The sequence below is a fragment of the Homo sapiens genome, chromosome 14 (assembly GCF_000001405.40).
Source record: "Homo sapiens chromosome 14, GRCh38.p14 Primary Assembly".
NCBI classification, from domain to species: domain Eukaryota; kingdom Metazoa; phylum Chordata; class Mammalia; order Primates; family Hominidae; genus Homo; species Homo sapiens.
This window is the reverse complement of record NC_000014.9, coordinates 41,763,331-41,782,190: the sequence shown is the minus strand read 5'-3', so window position 1 is coordinate 41,782,190 and position 18,860 is coordinate 41,763,331. Positions and strand designations below refer to the sequence as shown.

At 34.0% G+C, this 18,860-nt stretch overlaps 1 protein-coding gene across 8 annotated transcripts in view; it reads right to left on the bottom strand.

The window, feature by feature from the left end:
- The window catches only part of LRFN5 (leucine rich repeat and fibronectin type III domain containing 5), a 297,674-nt gene that overhangs the window by 122,359 nt on the left and 156,455 nt on the right, over nt 1-18,860 (bottom strand). For 6 of the 8 annotated variants that reach the window (NR_144389.2, NR_144388.2, XR_007063991.1 and 3 more), the window contains exon 2: nt 15,162-15,337. The exons of the other annotated variants lie outside the window; for them this stretch is intronic. The gene's annotated coding sequence lies outside the window, so the exon portion shown is untranslated. The remainder of the gene's footprint in view (nt 1-15,161; nt 15,338-18,860) is intronic. 8 annotated transcript variants of the gene reach the window in all.

Sequence of the window (18,860 nt, the reverse complement as noted above, 5' to 3'; positions counted from 1 at the left end):
CTTTAAAACAATTTCAAAAGGTTAAACATTAAAAAAGTCTGGAACAGCAGAAGGAAAAGACAAAGATAATGGAGTAGGAAAATATTTAAAATAATAATAATAACCAATAATTTTTTTTAAATTAAAGACAAACACTAAACTACAGATCCAGGAAGCTCAGAGAACACTACACAGTACAAATGCCAAGAAACATACATTTAGAGAATGTTCAAATTATAAAGCAAAAATCTTGAAACAAATCAGAGGGAAAAGCAGCTTATTTGCAGAGCAAGAATATGAATTGCATTGGGCTTCCCATCAGGACTCATGTAACAATAAGAAAGTGGAATAGAATACATAAAATGCTGAAGGAAAAACAAGACCAACAACCTGTGATACTGTATCTAGCAACATCTTTTCCTCCAAAAAGTAAAAAGAAATAAAGGCTTTCTCAAAGAAAATAAAAACTATAACTTCCTTCCTTCCTTCTTTCCTCTCTCTCTTTTTCTTTCTCTTTTTCTTTCTTTCTCTTTCTTTCTTTCTTTCCTTTCTTTCTTTCTTTCTCTTTCTTTCTTTCCTTTCTTTCTTTCTTTCTCTTTCTTTCTTTCTTTCTTTCTTTCTTTCTTTCTTTCTTTCTTTCTTTCTTTCTTTCTCTTTCTTTTCTCCTTCCTTCCTTCCTTCTTCCCTCCCTCCCTCCCTTCCTCCCTCCCTTCCTTCCTTCTTAATTTTATTTGAGACAGGGTCTCACTACAGTGCCATGATCACGACTCAATGCAGTCTCAACCTCCCATGCTCAAGTGATCCTACCAGATCAGCCTCCCTAGTAGCTGGGTATATAGGCACTGTCTATTTTGAAGAAAAGAGGTTTCACTACATTGCCCAGGCTGGTTTTGAACTCCTGGCCTCAAGCAATCCTACTGCTTCAGCCTCCCAAACTCCTGGGCTTACATGCATGAACCAACACACTTGGCCTTAGAACTAAGGAAATTCATCACAAGCACACATGCCCTGCCAGAAATTTTAAAAGAAGTTCTTTCAGGAGAAGAAAATAGTAAGTCAGAACTTCAATTGGTATAAAGAAAGAGAGAAAGAAAAAGTAAAGGTAAAATATTTTCCCTGTTCTTAATCAATCTAAAAGATAGCTAGTTGTTCGAAGTACAAATAGTAATAATATTTTGTTTGAATATAGCATAAAGTGAAATATGGTATATGTGAAATGAATGACAGAAATATAAAAAGGGATGGGAAAAGAAATTGGCAACATTCTGTTGCTAACTATCTGGATACTTGTAAAATAGTATAGTGTTACTTAAAAGTAAATAATTTATGGTAAATGTATATTATAAACACTTGGGCAACCGTACTATAAATTTTTTTGAAGTAGAATTAATACATAAGGAGAGAAGGTGGAATCATATAAAATGTTCATTTAAAACCAGATAATGCAGAAAAATAAAAATTAAAGAAACTAAAAATAACTGAAATGAATAGAAACAACTAAAACATGGTAGATATTAACTCAATATAGTAATCATTTGTAACATGAATGATCTAAATTCTTCAAATAAAATACATAAATTTTCAGATTTGATTTACAAAAAAACTCAATTATATGTTATCTGCAAGGAACCCACTTTAAATTAAGAACACATTGATTAAAACTAAAGGGATGAAGAAATATAGACCATACTAACACTAATCAAAAGAAAGCTGAAGTAGCTATATCAATTTCAGACAAAGCCGACTTCAGAGCAATGAAAGTTATTAGGGATAGAGAGGAACATTTAGTAATGAGAAAGCTGTCAATTCTTCAGGAAGACACAACAATCCTTAACATGAATTCACCTAACAGTGCATTAAAAGATGTGAGGCAAAAACTCACAGAAATGCAAAGGAAATTATATAAGGATAGAAAAAAATATTATGTTCTAAGATGACTATGGAAATAAATGTAATTAAATTAATAACAGAAAGATAGCTTGAAAATATCAAAACATTTGGATAATAAGAAATATACCTGTAAATAATCCACATGTCAAAGGCTCAAGAAAACTTAAAAAAAATTTTAACTAAACAAAACTTAAACCATAACTTAACAAAACCAGTGAAAGCACTGCCTACGGAGATATTTACAGCATAGAATACATATATTAGAAAAAAAGATATAAATTCAATAGTCTTTCTACTTTAGGAGCCTAGAGAAAATTGACCAACATAAACCTAAGGAAAGCAGGAGAAAATTAACAATAGTAATTAAAGCAGAAAATAATTAAATGGAAAACAGAAAAATCTAGTTATTTGAAAAGACCAGTAACATTTATAAACTTCTAGCCAGACTAACCAAGAAAAGAAAAGGAGATAAGACACAAATTACTACATCAGAAATTAAAGAGCAGTTGATATTACTGGTTCAATGTACATTTGAATGACCATAAAGTAATATTATGAATAACTCTATGGCGACCAATATGATAAACTGGACAAAATGGACCAATTCCTTGAAAGACAACTACTGAAACCCACACCAAGAGAGTCAGATAATCTGAATATCTCTTTATCTGTTAACGGACATTGAGTAAATCATAAATAACTTTCTAAAGAAAATGCACCAGATCCAGACTATTTCACTGGCAAATTCTACAAAACACGTAAGGGGAAATTATGTTGTTCTCTACAAATTCTAACAGAAACAGAAGCCAAGTGTATGCTTCTTAACTCATTCTATGTGAAGAGCATTAGCCTAATAATAAAAACAGATAAAAGACATTACAAGAATGGAAATCTATAGACCAACTGCTCTCTTTAACATAGATCCAAAAATTTCTAATAACATATTAACAAATTGAACAAACAATGGATGAAAAATTATACACCATGATGAAATCAGATTTATCCAAAGCTAATTTAAAATTGTAAAATCAGGGTAATCCATCACAAGCTAAAGCAAAAACAAAAAAAGTCATATCAACTGATTTAGAACAAGCATTTGACAAAATCTGATATCTTTTCATAATAAAAATTCTCAGCCAACTAGAAAGAGAGGAAAACTTCAACTTGATAAAGAACATTTACCAAATACCTACAGCTAATATATACCCTATAATGTGAAACTAGATGCCTTCCCTCTAAAATCAAGAACAATATAAGAATGTTCCCTCTCAGCATTCCTATTAACAGTATAATGGCAGTCTGAACTAGTATAATAAGAAATGAAAGGAGAATAAATGTTGCACAGATCAAGAAGACATAAAACTGTCTTTGTTCACAGATGACACGTCTGTCTACATAGAAAATCCCAAAGAACTGATTAAAAAAACTCCTGCCATTAGTAAGTGAGTACAAACTTAACAAAATATGTACAAGATCCTTATGTGGAAATTTGTGCACATGTACAACAATTCACATGTACTTTATAATAACCATAAATCTAAAAAAACAAAGAAATGGTTATTACGTAGCTTAGTTCATTATACAACTTTTAGCTTTAGTGAAGGACAATATTGCACACAGAGGCAGAAAGGGATCATAACAATGTTCTGTTTCTTGAACTGAGTGGTAGCTCCATAGTTCTTCACATTGTAGTTATTAATTAAAGTGTACATGAGTTTTATAAACCTTTCTTCATTAAATGTTACAAAAATAATAGCACAATATTATTCACTAAAATACTAAACCATAATCATGATGATAATAATAACAATCTGTCCATAGGAGCAAATGGCAGTATAGAAACCAACGATAATCAAAGAAATAAACTGGGAAAGAAAACCAAGAAATTTTACCTGTAAAACTATAAAATAGTCCCCAAAGTACTTTAAAATTTTGAAGTTATAGCCCAGAAGAAGATAAGCCAATTACACAAATTGTCTGCATAAGCTCACACAAATTAATCTCTTGATGGCCCCTCATCCTTCAGTTATAAAAGAAGAGTCATGTTGTTTCAAATTCTATCCAATTATGAAACACATGCCTAATTGCTCATTTATTTTAAAAATCCTATTTTCTTCTAGATTCAGACTGGGAATCAAATATTTATTTTCAGTCATTATAAATATTTCATATTTAAATATGCCAAAATAAAGTTTTCTGGAAAAGAGCTGAGAAGGGACATTATTCTGAGCCTGGAAAAAATACTATTAAAAATTATCAAATATTGAGATATTCAAAAGTATAATCTTCCCCTCTCAATCCCCCCCCCCCACCAAAAAAAAAGGATCCCATGCATCTTCTTAATGGTTCTTTTATCCTGTCTGCAATGTAAGTTGTGAAGAATTACCATCTTAAAGACAGAGTCAGAAACAGGATTAAGGTTTGGTTAGTTTAAACACCATTACCCATTAAAAATTAAAACAGATTACTGCAATAGCATCTCCATAATGTTCATTATGAAGAAGATAATAAAAGGGACAATTGTGCTTCTGCAGTTTTACAGTGTATATATCCAAAAATGGTACTCACCATAAAATGATTTAAAGAAAACATCCTACACTATGGCAAATACAAAAAGCGAAGGAAAACATAAGAATGACCTTGATCACTATTTTCATTTACCAATGTAATAGAGCTCCTAGCATGCTCAATTAGATGATGAAAAAATAATATAAGGAAAATTTAATAGTGCTATTTTCATAGATATTATAACTACAAACATGTAATCGGAATAACAAACAAAACTACTAAAACTAGTTAGACTTCAGCATAGTTAGTTAGAAGAGATAATGATAAAAAGCAATGTTACTGCTCAGACAAATCAATGTAAAAATGTAACACTTTAAAAATCCATACACAGAAACACAAAAAGCATCATTTGTGAAGAAACAGAAAAGAAACTCAAGATGTATAGGATAATTTTATAAAAATGTAGTATAGGACCTAAAAAAGAACATTGATAGAGTAATTATTTAAAAATATAAAATAAAATATTTCTACTCATCTAAAATAAAAATTACTTGTGACTCCAATAAAATTTACAACATAATTTTTCACCAAACTTGTGTACTCCTAAAATTAAAATAGAAGGATAAAGAATAAAAAATCAACATTAGGCAAGGCAATTTTGAAGAGAAATGGAAGTAGCTATTTATTCCACAATCTATTGAGACATATTACAAATAGGATAATTACATTAGAGTATAGTATTTGTGCAGAGATGATGAATATAACAATAAAATAAATAGAAAAATCAAGATATATCCATTCATATATGAAAACTGTATATGGCAGTGCTAGAATTCCAATTCAATGTGTAAAGGATACATTATTAAATAAACAATACAAGACAATTGGTTATAAGTATGGAAAACATAAATGGAACTGTACAGTACTGCAAATCCAACTTAATTTCTACATTACACAAAAAATGTGAAAATAAACTTTTAAAATACTAAAGAATGCCTAGGAAAATATCTTTATTTCTTCAATAGCAGAGAAAGATAGCTTAAACAAGGCACAAAAAAGCACACACGCACACACAGCAAAATAAATAATTGATAATTTCATCACATTAAATGAAAGCTTTTTATTTTGGTAAAGGGTTTCTGAGACAATCCTTTTCTTAAAATGTTGGGTCCTTTATGAAAATTCCTCTTTGTAAAAAGGACTGTCACCCTCAGTGGGCAGTCCCTTTAAATTAAAGACAAGTTATTAAGTATAAAAATGTTTCACAAAAGCTGATGACAATAAAACACACTAAATTAAGGCATCCATACATTGTGTGAAATGATAACTGTGTCATTATATTAAAAAATTATCTCTGTGTTATTCGCATAGGTAAACACCAGAATGCCCATAAACCCACACCAAATAAGACTCAGGAATCCACTCAGAAGACACCAAAACGGGGATACTCACGTGGTAACTAAAAGATTCTTACTTGACATTTCCTTCAATACCTTCCTTATCTATCATTACTTTTCCTATTGGGGCAGCATAGATCCCTTGACATGAATACACTTATGGAACTAACTAAACAGGAAGTCATTTATGTGTATTTTGTCCCCAAATATTTAGGAATCAGGATTACTACTATAAAACTTCCCATAAAATACACTAAAAATTTAAACAATCTCTTTTAACTTTCAAAAGAGTAACATGTATGTTATGATAAATATAGAACCACAAATCCAAGAAGCGATTCCAATGTTGGTTGTTTGCTGGAATCACTACTTAGTGACACATTCAGGCCACACCAATTTCCAGACTGGAGTGTTTGCATATAACTACCTAAAGAAAATCCATGAAGGCCATAAGCCCACTCTCATCGTCAGTATAGCTGTTACATTTAGAACCACTTTTTAGTAAATCTGACCGAAAATTTTGATCACCTGCTGTTTTATTGCAGGATGCATATAAGAAATGTTGAAAAATGCTTCATAATACAACCTTGATAAAACGAGAACATTAATTTAAAATTACATATAATTTTATTTGTGAATATTCCTCCTTTTTTATAACGAGAGGGTTCTCATTATAAAAAGGTTTACCCTATAATTCTGTCACTTTATAAATAATGAATGCATTTTTTCAATTGTGGATGATTTCTGCGTTAAAATCATTACTGCAGTAGGTATTGAAATAATCTAAGAGATGCTTATTTGCCTGTAATGGAACTACATCTTCAAGACATAAATAAGTAAGCAGGTATGAAAAGGTTATTTGTTTTCCAGATATTAAACAGTATGTGAAAGCTTGAAGATTTAGCATAGTAATCCATATTTGCATGCCAGTTATCAAAAAGAAAGCCAGATTCTTATTATGGATTTATGATTGCCTGGCATTAAGAGGAAAAGTCACCTTATAAAAAATAGTTGCTTAAAAAGTAGCAACTGCCGGGTGCGGTGGCTTGCCTGTAATACAAGCACTTTGGAAGGCGGAGGTGGGCGGATCACGAGGTCAGGAGTCGAGACCATCCTGGCTAACACGGTGAAACCCCGCCTCTACTAAAAACACAAAAAATTAGCCGGGCCTGGTGGTGGGCGCCTGTAGTCCCAGCTACTCGGGAGGCTGAGGCAGGAGAATGGCGTGAACCCGGGAGGCGGAGCTTGCATTGAGCCGAGATCGCGCCACTGCACTCCAGCCTGGGAGACAGAGCGAGACTCCGTCTCAAAAAAAAAAAAAAAGAAAAAGAAAAAGTAGCATCAAATCTTTCACCTCAATTGTCAAATCTAATGTGCCTGGACTTTTATTGTATTACTACAGGGGAAATGTGTTTTTATGTTGAGTCAGTTATCCTTCATTATTCCTAAGAGGCCAAAGGGAAGTTTAGTTATACATGTAAGATCAAGCTACCCCCCTGCAAGATCACAGTCATTATCCAGCCTTACATATGTAATCAGGAGTGATGAAAGAGGTTATTGTTAGCAACTAACCTATATATCGCCTACATGTCAGCATTCCCAATAGGTGTGCTTTATGTATCCTCTCTGTCATGATCTTTTCAACCTCACTGGGATTCTTAAATATTCTAACTATTGAATACTTACGTGTGAAAACTGTATGATCAAAGTTAACTAACATCTAAGTTAACGCTTTTCAAAATCAAGTCTAGATTTTCTTATGCTATTAATGTTTTCACCTGGTAGTCCTGAATCTATCAAATTCCTGATGTTTTTTCCATACAATTTGTCATGTAGTTTCAACATTAAATTTTGTCGTGTTTTATTCATTTCATATTACAAATCATTAGTAATATTATGTTAGCATTTATAATCAATACACAATTCTTCCAATCTATGAATTTCTTCCCATAATAAATCATGAATTATCCTAAAAGAAGCCTTTGTAGAGACTGCCAATGTTTTTCTTGCTGTAAAGGCTCCTATATTCTGTTTCATATTGATAAGAGATGCCTCAGTTTACACAGAAATTCTAAGTTTAATATGTGTTAAAATACTCCATAGTGTAGTCTGTAGTGGTATATGGAGATCAACTGCACATTCACAAAATAGATTGCTCATTACAATAACTGAGTTAATAACCTTACATTGAGTCAGTACAAATTGGATTGTTTCCATTGGTTTTCATAGCCAATGCTTTGCAATTAAGATTGTTGTCATGCATCTAATGTTGGTTGCCAAGAGTACTCTCCAAGTTACATAAATCTCTCCTGGTCCTAAATGTAAACTCATCATTTTCTCATAAAGAAGAGCATTTATTCAGACTTCTTCCCTGGACATTTCACAGTAAGAACCATAGTGTTAGCAACACAAAGACCAACATTAACAGCAGGCAGAGACAGCAGAGACTCCTCTATATCAAGTACTGCCAGCTAAGACATTTGTAGCTGTTGTATCAGTATGTATGGGCTTTCAGAAAGACTCTGCATTGTCTTTCTAGTTTTTATAATTTTTATTTAAAAGAGACAATATATCAGCATATTAACCACAATAGTTTAATGCTGAAGCCTGTCTCTGAAAGCCAGAAAATTGGTACTTCTAATAAGTATATTTGCATTATCTCAGATGGAAGTAATCTCCTTTTCCACTGAACTCACATGACTATTTGTAGCTTTTCCTCACTATCATATGGTAGTTATTTCTGCAGTGTACTGCCTTACCTCACCAACAAGTCTGTAATTATTTTTTAGACAAAAATTCCAGTCGTATTAATCTGCAGAGAGAGAGAAAGAGAAAGAGACAGAGAGAGAGAGAGACAAAGAGAGAGAGAGAGGAAAATGCTCTATGCCTGTGATTATATACAATATAATAAAAAAGGCATTTTAATGTTGAGCAAAATTGATGTAGACTCTGATCTTGCAGTGTTTACATTCTGGAGGAGAGGACAATATTAATCAAACAACTAAAGAAAAAAACATAAAAATATAATGAAATACAGGTATATGATGCTATGAGACCATATAATAGAAAGAACATATCTGGTTTGGCTGACCAAGAAAACTTCCTTCAGAAAGTGACTACTGAATGAGATGCAGGCAAAAAAAGTGAGCTGCTCAGGGAGAAACAGTCAGGTGCAAAGACCATGGTGGGAGGTGACATTATATGAACAAGAACAGAAAGGTCTTTGTGCCTTGAATGCAAGAAGGGCATGATGGGGGACAACTTGGGGCCATTTAGAAAAATGCTAAACCATGGATAACATTGTAAGCCATGTTAAATAACTTTGTCTTCAGTCTAAGAATAATGGTCTTTACTGAGGTCACGACATCTCAATTTTGTGTTTTGTAAGCTCTCTCTGTCTGCATGTGGAGAATAAGCAAAATAGATACATCGCTGGGTATTGTAAATAATTTAGGAGGCTCTTGGGGTAGTCTACGGGAGAAATCACAGTAGTAAAGATTAGGATAATGATAGTAAAAATAGGGAAAAGTAGATGAATTTTAGAATTTTCTTTGTAGGTAAAACTGACCAGATTAGGTGATGAATTGTTTTTGTGGAGTGAAAGATTGAGAAAGATGACAAAATGATTCAGAATTTTACTGGTATATGGTGAGCCGTATACTGAGCTCAAGAACACCAGAAGAATGTATGTGGCAAGATAATCAAGAGGTTAGTTTTCCACAAGTTAAATTTAAGGCATGTAGGTAATTAGATATATCAATTTGGAATTGACTAGCAAGGTCTGTGCTATACAAATTTGTGAGAGCCATTATAAAGAATTTTTTATTGTCTGAGGGTTTTTTATTCTTTCTTCTTTGCAAAGTGAATGCTGCATAAGATAGCATGTCTAATTTGCTCTAACTTTTGATATCATTTAAACTAATTGAACTCAATTCATGTAACCAGATAAGCATTTATAGGTAGCATATTGCTTTTGTCCTATTGATGACTTTATTTTGTATCTGTATGTTTTTGTGGATCATATTTTACGGGATGATTTTAGGCAGTGAAGTATATACCTAAGGATATTAAACATGAAAATATATCTATCAGATTTGATATGGTTTGGATGTTTGTCTCCTTTAAAACTTATGTTGCAACGTAATCCCCAGTGTTGGAGGTGAAGCCTAGTGGGAGGTGTTTGGATCATGAGGGTGGATTTCTCACGAATGACTTAGTGCTATCTCCTTGGTGATGAGTGAGTTCTCACTCAGTTCATGCAAGATCTGGTTGTTTGAAAAGATGTATCATCTCCCCCCTCGCTCTCTTGTTCCTACTATCATCATGTGACCTGCTGGGTACTGCTTTGCCTTCTGCCATGACGGTAAGCTTCCTAAGGCCCTCACCAAAAGCAGATGCTGACGCCATACTTCCTACAGCCTAGAGAATAATGAGCCAATTAATCCTTTTGTCTTTATAGATTTTCCAGCCTGAGACATTTCTTTATAGTGATACAAAAATGAACTAACACAGATAATTGGTATTAAGCAGTGGGGCATTGCTATAAAGATAACTGAAAATGTGAAAGTGGCTTTGGAACTGGGTAACAGGCAGAGTTTGGGAGACTTTGGAGATCTCAGAAGACAGAAAGATGAGGGAAAGTTTAGAATTCTAAGAGACTGGTTAAATGGTTTTGACCAAAATGCGGACAGAGATATGGATGGTGAAGACCACACTGACAAGGTCTCCGATGGAAATGAGGAAGTTACTGGGAAATGGAGTAAAGGTCCTCCCTGTTACACCCTAGCAAATAACTCGGCTGTACTGCATCCAGGTCCTAGGGATCTGTGAAAGTTGATAATTAAGAGTGATGACTTAGGGTATCTGGCAGAAAAAAATTCTAAGCAGCAAAATGTTCAAGAAGTGACATGGCTCCTTCTAACAGCCTAAATTATATACAGGAGCAAATAAATGATCTACAGTTGAAACTTATATTTAAAGGGAAACAGAGGATAAAAGTTTGGAAAATTTGCAAACTGGCCAAGTGACAGAGAAAGAATATAAAGAACCGATGGAGCAACCATGTGCTAGAGAGGCATGCGTGACCAGAAGGACGCCATGAGCTAATATCCCAGACAATGGGAAAAATGCCTTGAAGGAATTTCAGAGATCTTCAAGACTGGGCCTGCTCCCAGAAACCATTCTATTCTCCTGGGCCTCTGGGCGAGGAGATCCAGGGCCAGAGGCCCAGGAGAATAGAATGGTTTCAGGGGCCAGGCCTAGGGCCCCACTGCCCTGAGCAGCCTTGAGATATTGCTCCCCATATACTTGCTGCTCCAGCTATGTAATGGCTCAAAGGGGCCCAAGTACAGCTCAAACCACAGCTCCAGAAGGCACAAGCCTTAAGCCTTGGTGGTTTCCACATGGTGTTAAATCTGCAAGCGTGAAGGGGGCTTGGTGGCTACCACCTAGATTTCAGAGGATATATAGGAAAGACTGGGTGCCCAAGCAGAAGCTTGCCACAAGAGTGGAGCTCCTCACAGAGAAACTCTACCAGGGCAATGCTGAGGGAAAGTATGGAATTGGAGGCCCCATACAGAGTCTCCACCAGGACACTGTCTAGTGGAGCTGTGGGAAGGAAACCATTGTCCTCCAGAACCCAGAGTGGTAGATTCACTGGCAGCTTGAACCCTCTGCCCAGAAAAGCCACAAGCATACAACTGCAACCTGTGAGAGCAGCTATGTGTACTGTGTCCTGCAAAGCCACAGGCACAGGGCTACCCAAGTCCTTGGGGGCCCATCCTTCACAACATGCTGTGGAACATGAAGTCGAGGATTGTGTTGGAGCTTTAAGATTTAATGCCTGCCCTGCTGGGTTTCAGAGTTGTACAGGGTCTATTACCCCTTGCTTTTTGCCAATTTCTCCCTTTTGGAATGGTAATGCTTACCCAATGCCAGTAGCATCATTGTATTTTGGGACCAAATAACTCATTTTGATTTTACAGGCTCATAGGTGGAAGGAGATGAGTCTCAGATGAGACAGGACTTTAGACTTAATGTTGGAATGATTAAAAACTCTTGGGGCCTATTGGCAAGCGATAATTGTATTTTGCAATCTGAAAAGAACATGTGATTTGGGGGGGCCAGGGATGGAATGACAAGGTTTGGATGATTATCCCCTCCAAATCTCTTATTACAATGTAATCACCAATGTGGGAGGTGGGGCCTAGTGAGACGTATTAGATCATGGGGATAGATACCTCATGAATGGCTCCTTGGTGATGAGTAAATTCCTGGTCAGTTAGTTCATGTGAGATCCGGTTGTTAAAAAGAGTGAAGCACCTCCCCACTTTCTCTCCTGCTCCCACTCTCTCCATGTCATGTGCCTGCTCCCCCTTTGCCTTCTGTCATAATGATTACCTTCCTGAGGGGCTCACCACCACACTTCCTGTACAGCCAGCAGAACCAAGAGCCAGTTAAATCTCTTTTCTTTCTAAATTACCTAGCCTTGGGTATTTCCTTATAGTGATGCAAAAATGGACTAACACATGGTTGAAGAAATAGACAAATGAAAACTGGACTCATAGAAATGGTATACATGGCAAATAAATTAATGTTTAGTAAAGAATACTACAAATTGTCAAATGATAATATATTGACAATTATTATGATAGCTAGTTAAGCCACTTTCAAATAATGTCATAAAAGGTGATAATTTACACACTTTAAATATAAGGGAGTTGATTTCAGAAAAATAAAGCACCACTTAAATATTATATATTTAATGTCATTAAGGATACCTTAATAGTTAAAAGGAATATTAGCTTTGTAAAATAATTATCGTCATTGTGTGTACAATAAATTATCTTTACATATACGTACACATATATACATATATACACACACATATGTAAATATATACATACACATACATGCACATAAATACACACACATACATAGGTATGTATTTTCAAAAGCATGTACCTACAGGCACATTTGCTGTTAAGACATTAAGCACTGTTTAATTTCATCAATACTTTTGTCAAGTGAGAACGAATAGAGAAACAGACAAAAGTAGTCTTCTACTGTCCAAGGCTAATTGGAAATGCCAGAGTGAGAAAAATAATCATAATAGCAACCATTACCACCTCAGCTGTCCTCCTTAATCACAAGTGGATATTCCATTGCATCATTATTCTGCTACTACTACTCCATTCACTGTTTCACTCTAAGAAAGTTTCTGGTATTCCATTAATTTTTAAAGGGATTTTAATGGATGTCCTATGAATTTTCAATGAGCTATTTGAAGTTGGACAAACCTAATTAGGAACGTGTTTACTTTCTGTTTTTTTTTTTTCAGAGTGATTAATTTCACGCAAGACATTAACCTAATGTTACTCCAAAGAAAAAATAGAGAACATGAGGTACTACTTCTACACGCTAATGGACTGCTAATTTAAAAAACCAAATCAAGCATTAACTTGGAAGAGTCTTTTTCAACATATAAATTATTTCTGGTTAGCCTTTTATTTCCAGGTTAATTAAGAAAATCTTTTGGCCTTGATTTTAGCAATTAGTAAATGAAAATGTGTTTGAATTTACTTTGTTTTGTGATTTACACTAGAGAATCTATCAGTCAACACAGTTCCTTTGCTAACAGCTTTTGTAAAGTAAATGCTTTTATCTAGAAAAAGTCTTGCCAGTGGAAAACAACATACAAAAAATTATTAATTAACTAATTGGGCAGATAAAATCTCTGGAGTTTCTTGTGGGGTTGCCATAAAGAAACACACTATTTTTACATTTTCACAGTCGCCTCAGGCTTGGACAGTGTCCTCTGTCTCCTTAAGCACATGAAAAACACAGAAAATTTAGAATGCATTTCTCATGTTGTTTTATTTAATGGAAATCTAAAGAAGCAAAGCAACAAAAGCAATTCCTAAAATAAATGAATAAATTATGTACAAAAGCAGTACCAGGTAACAAAATATAGGAAGAAGAAACCTACACTAAAATCATGTTTGGAATGAATCAATCTGCATACTCAGACTCATCATTTTACACCATCATCACATTTATAATCAATTAACCTCAATATAATCTAGATATATTATTTTTGTATATGTCTTAAAAGTAGTCCTTCTACACCACCTTGAGCATACTAGCAACAACATACTGGCTGCCTATTTTAAATGTTATATAATTAGATACATCATGATTCAGATATAAATTCTTAACTACAGTTTTTCTGTTCTTCTAATAACATATGCATTTCTATTGCATATTGACATGTAATATGTCGCAAAATAAAAGTGGGTTCATTAAGTATCTCTTACCTGTTCACTTCAAGAAAATTTTAACTGCCAAGCATCCAATCACTGACAATTTCAGCTATATCAAACTTTTGTTCTATATAAAAGTGCACCTACAATCAATTTTCTGTGCAGTGACATTGCGATGTAAATATATCCCCAAGAGCAACAAGAAATGCTTACATCAAGTATTTAGGAGAAGAAAAAAAAATGCCTCAAACATGAAGTTAAACTAGAAACATGGCAAAACAACAGGCTCATAAGTATGAACCAGGAAAGTCCGAACTTTTCCTGAGACGTTGTCTTTATTTTCAAATCCTATGACCATAAATAATCTTTTAACTAATACATTTACCTGATTTCCCTAGAAGTTAGAAAGCCCATACATAAATTTATGGCTGGGAATTTGTTTTGTGGTGGTATGCAGTACATTGTGTTATGCATTTTACAGATCTTCATGTCCCCTGATTTCAATTCATTTTCCTATATATGATTTTCATTTTCTTTTGTTTTTCTAGTATGCACATTTAAAGGCTGGCATAAACTCTCCTTGAATGACCCAGATAACGTATCATTCAATAAACCAACCAATCAGGAAAAGTGCTCTTTCTAGCACCAGTTCATTACCCTCTATATAGCACTGGACATCAAAGCCATGGAAACAACACTTATTTTTTTTAAATTCAGAAAATGAGAAATTGTATTCCATTTTCATAGTTTATTAGCCAAGCAAATTTGATAAAATATTTGGTCATTTTGAACCTTTTTATTCATTTGCAAACATTGTTATTTTAATCTATTCCTTGTCCAGGCCTTAGGGTTGTAAGTATAAATTATGATAATGCATGTGAAACACAAATCCTAAAAAAAAAAATCAGAAAATTCCATAAGGATAGAGGTTATCAACACAAAAAGTGGTAGACATTGAATCTCCAAAAAATATGACTCAAAAACAACAACAACAACAAAAAACAAGGTAATCAGTGATGAATAATACTAGGTTTAATTTGTATGTAAGTTAGCAAGATTTTTAGTTTTCCTCCCTTAAGTGTTTTAAACCCACTGACAATGATTGAACTGAATGCAATCAACTTACTTCTGGAGCCTGAAGAGTTCCTCACGGCTGTGAAGGAGTCGGCACTCTGCCTGGCTGCTGCAGAAGACGGACAGAGTGAAAGCATCTCCAAAGCTGATTTCAGAGGACGGTGTCAAAAGATGGGTGCTCGGCTGCTACATATCTTCTCAACACCTGGATGAATGGTTACAGGGATTCTTCAAAGGAGGCAAGCACAAAAAAAGAGTGTATCAAAAAATGCTTATAAAGTATCCTTGAAAAATATAGTGGCTGTTAACTGGGTGATCAATCTCAAACTACAGCAGGAGTATCATGCAATATGATTTAAATATATTTGCATAATAAAGCTTTCCAATGGAATGTGCAACATACTGTGATTTCAATAAATATATTAGCATTCTCCTTTCCTTTTTGAAATAAGTTTTCTTATCAAAACTGAGGATAATTTAAATAATCTTAAGCTGTATAGTTCGATTTCATCATATTTAAATTAATTCAACTTGCAGTCTAATGTTAAAACAGTGCATAAGTTAACATATATTTAAGCATCACCTACTACTTACGAGTCATATGACAGTTAGCATATGGCAGTGAATGAACCTGAAAAACCCTTATCCTGATTAAACTAATAGTCTTATGTTGTTTTTCCCGTATATTTTTCAACAGAGAAAATCTGACTATTGCAACCTATATGTCTATGAAAGAAATACATAGGCATGCCATTTATTTTTTAACTTTATGTCAGAAGATTACTGATTTCAACCTCTTTTTGAGGTTTTCATGTCACTCTAAAGAATAGCTAACTTGGCTCTATAAAACACAATACTTAACTTTCTTTCCTATAAGATTACTATGTAATAGTACAAATTGATATTCAATCACTGATATTTGTAATGCAGAAATAGGCTGAATTTTTAAAACGTTCTTGAAATTAATAAAAGCATTGTAATTTTACTTTAACTATAACTTATTTTGTCTGAAGAAGCGAAAGTGAGAAATAATGAAATTCCAAAGCATAATAATAAAAAACAGACCTAAGATGAAACAGCAACTTGAGTTTAGCTTATTATTTCTGCTGCCTCCACTTGTAAAGATATATGAATGATCTTATAGAGTCAAAATTTAAAGAAGTGATTATATTGTCTTAAGATACTCAATAATTAGGAATTTATTTAAAAAGGAAAATTAAGCTATTGCTTAATTTAATACTGATATGGTCAGAAATACTAAAAATCAAGGCACAGATTACTTGTGCAATTAAATAAAAGTAAATTATAGCTTATATATTTCAATTATTTATCTGAATCTGTCAATCAATGCTGTATCTTTTTGAAATTTATGTTTACTATAGCATTTTAGAATAACTGGGACATACCACATACACAAATATGAATATAAATCAATCATTTGACAACCATGTTGATACAGCAATTGTTTGCCTTTTCATTTATTTCCTTCCATGAATATATTTTAAGCTAACTTTCACATTCATATATGCATGACAAAAACATCAGAAATCCAATAGTACATCTTCCTCCAAAGTAAGATGTCCTCCTCGGAGAAAACCAATTTCACATTTTAGAACATTCTTTCAGAAATAGTTTGTGTGTGTATGTATGTGTGTGCGTTTGTAAATTTTTGTACATATATCAGAATACTTTGCTCTGTTGTGCCCTGTTTTTTTTTTTTTTTTTTCCTCCTTTTTTTTTGAGACGGAGTCTCGCTCAGTAGCCCAGGCTGGAGTGCAGTGGCGCGATCTCGGCTCACTGCAACCTCCGCCTCCCGGGTTCACGCCATTCTCCTGCCTCAGCCTCCCGAGTAGCTGGGAATACAGGCGCCCGCCACTACGCCCGGCTAATTTTTTTGTACTTTTAGTAGAGACGGGGTTTCACTGTGTTAGCCAGGATGGTCTCGATCTCCTGACCTCGTGATCCGCCCGTCTCGGCCTCCCAAAGTGCTGGGATTACAGGCGTCAGCCACCACGCCCGGCCTGTGCTCTGTTTCTTTAACGTCTTGAAAAACATTCCATTTCTGTCTTCTAGCATGAATCCATCCATTCTAACAGTGCACATCTACCATAAGCGTAATCTTAGCTGGTAAAGTATCTTAACTGAAAAAGTACACCTTTCTGGGATTTTGTTGTTATAAAAATAATATTTATATGAATATATATGTATTCTGCATATATAATCATATATATGTATTCTGCATATATAATCATATATATGTATTCTGCATATATAATCATATATATGTATTCTGCACACATGTTAGTAAATACAGGCACAATATATTCCTAAATAAACTGTTTAGGTTAAAACACCTCATTGTCCGTGCAGCTCTGATCATGTTTCTTTCTTTGTAGTAAAGATGCAGTATAAAAAATAAATCTGAATTCTGTAATTACATTTTCTATTATTTCATTATGGTAGCAAAATATAAAGGCCTCAAAATATCATCCTAACTCCCCCTAAAACATACTGTTGACCAACAGTAGGTCTATGTCTTTATTTTAGCATGAAAAGCACAGTAACAACTGAAATTCCTACCTAAATTATAATTTCCCAGAGAAAATTTATTGTCTATATGGTCACATTACTAATGAGAACAGCATTTCCTTTTTTGTAATCATACCTTTTATTAAGATTTACTATGTGCCAGCTACCATAAAACATGTGTTAACTTAAAAAAATTCTCTTAAGAATCAAATGAGGTAAATACATATTTCTATTTTAGTGCTACAAAAATGCAAGGACAGAGAAAGGTCAACTAACCTTGGGCAAGCTCATATAGGTAAATAGCAAAATGAGGACTCTCACCTAGGGCTATCTCACTCTATGAAATGTCTTATATCTCATAATGTAAGTGACATTTTCAAAAAAATCCATAAGGATTCTATATTAAAGTAAGGTGTTATTTTTTTAGTCCATATATTTTGGTCAATGCAATGACCAAAGAGGGAAAATTCAGATTTGAGATTCTAATACTACATTTTCTAGTGTTACCATACAAAGATTTTTTTTTGTTGATATTATGTTGAAATGGAACATCCTATAAAAAATTATGGTCAATTTCTTAGTTCCAAGTTGTTACATTCTTAGCATAGTCTTAGAAAATTCAGCAACTGTTATTGTTTATGTACATATATTTCCAAGAAATATAGTTCTCCCTCTAACAATTATTGTGGATGCCATATTAGTCTGTTCTCATGCTGCTAATAAAGACATAACTGAGGCTGGGTAATTTATAAAGGAAAAACATTTAATGGACTCACAGTTCCACATGGCTGGGGAGGCCTCACAATCATGTCAGAGGATGAAGTAAGAGCAAAGGGACATCTTACATGGCGGCAGGCAAGAGAGCATATGCAGGGGAACTCCCCTTTATAAAATCATTACATCTTATGAGACTTATTCACTATCACCAGAACAGCTTTGGAAAGACCTGCACCCATGATTCAATTCCTTCCCACCATGTCCCTCCCACGACACGACACATGGGCATTACTGAAGCTACAATTCAAGATGAGATTTGGGTGAGGACAAAGCCAAACCACATAAGGTGCCAATACTAAACTCAGAAAGAACTTAGAAAAAATGGGCAAAGCTCTAGAAGTTATTAGAAAATATGTATTTAAAAGTGAGAATCATTACCTCCTCCAGCACCAAATGATACTTTCTTATCCTCTAGGATATCTTTACTAAGTGTTCATCAATTGCC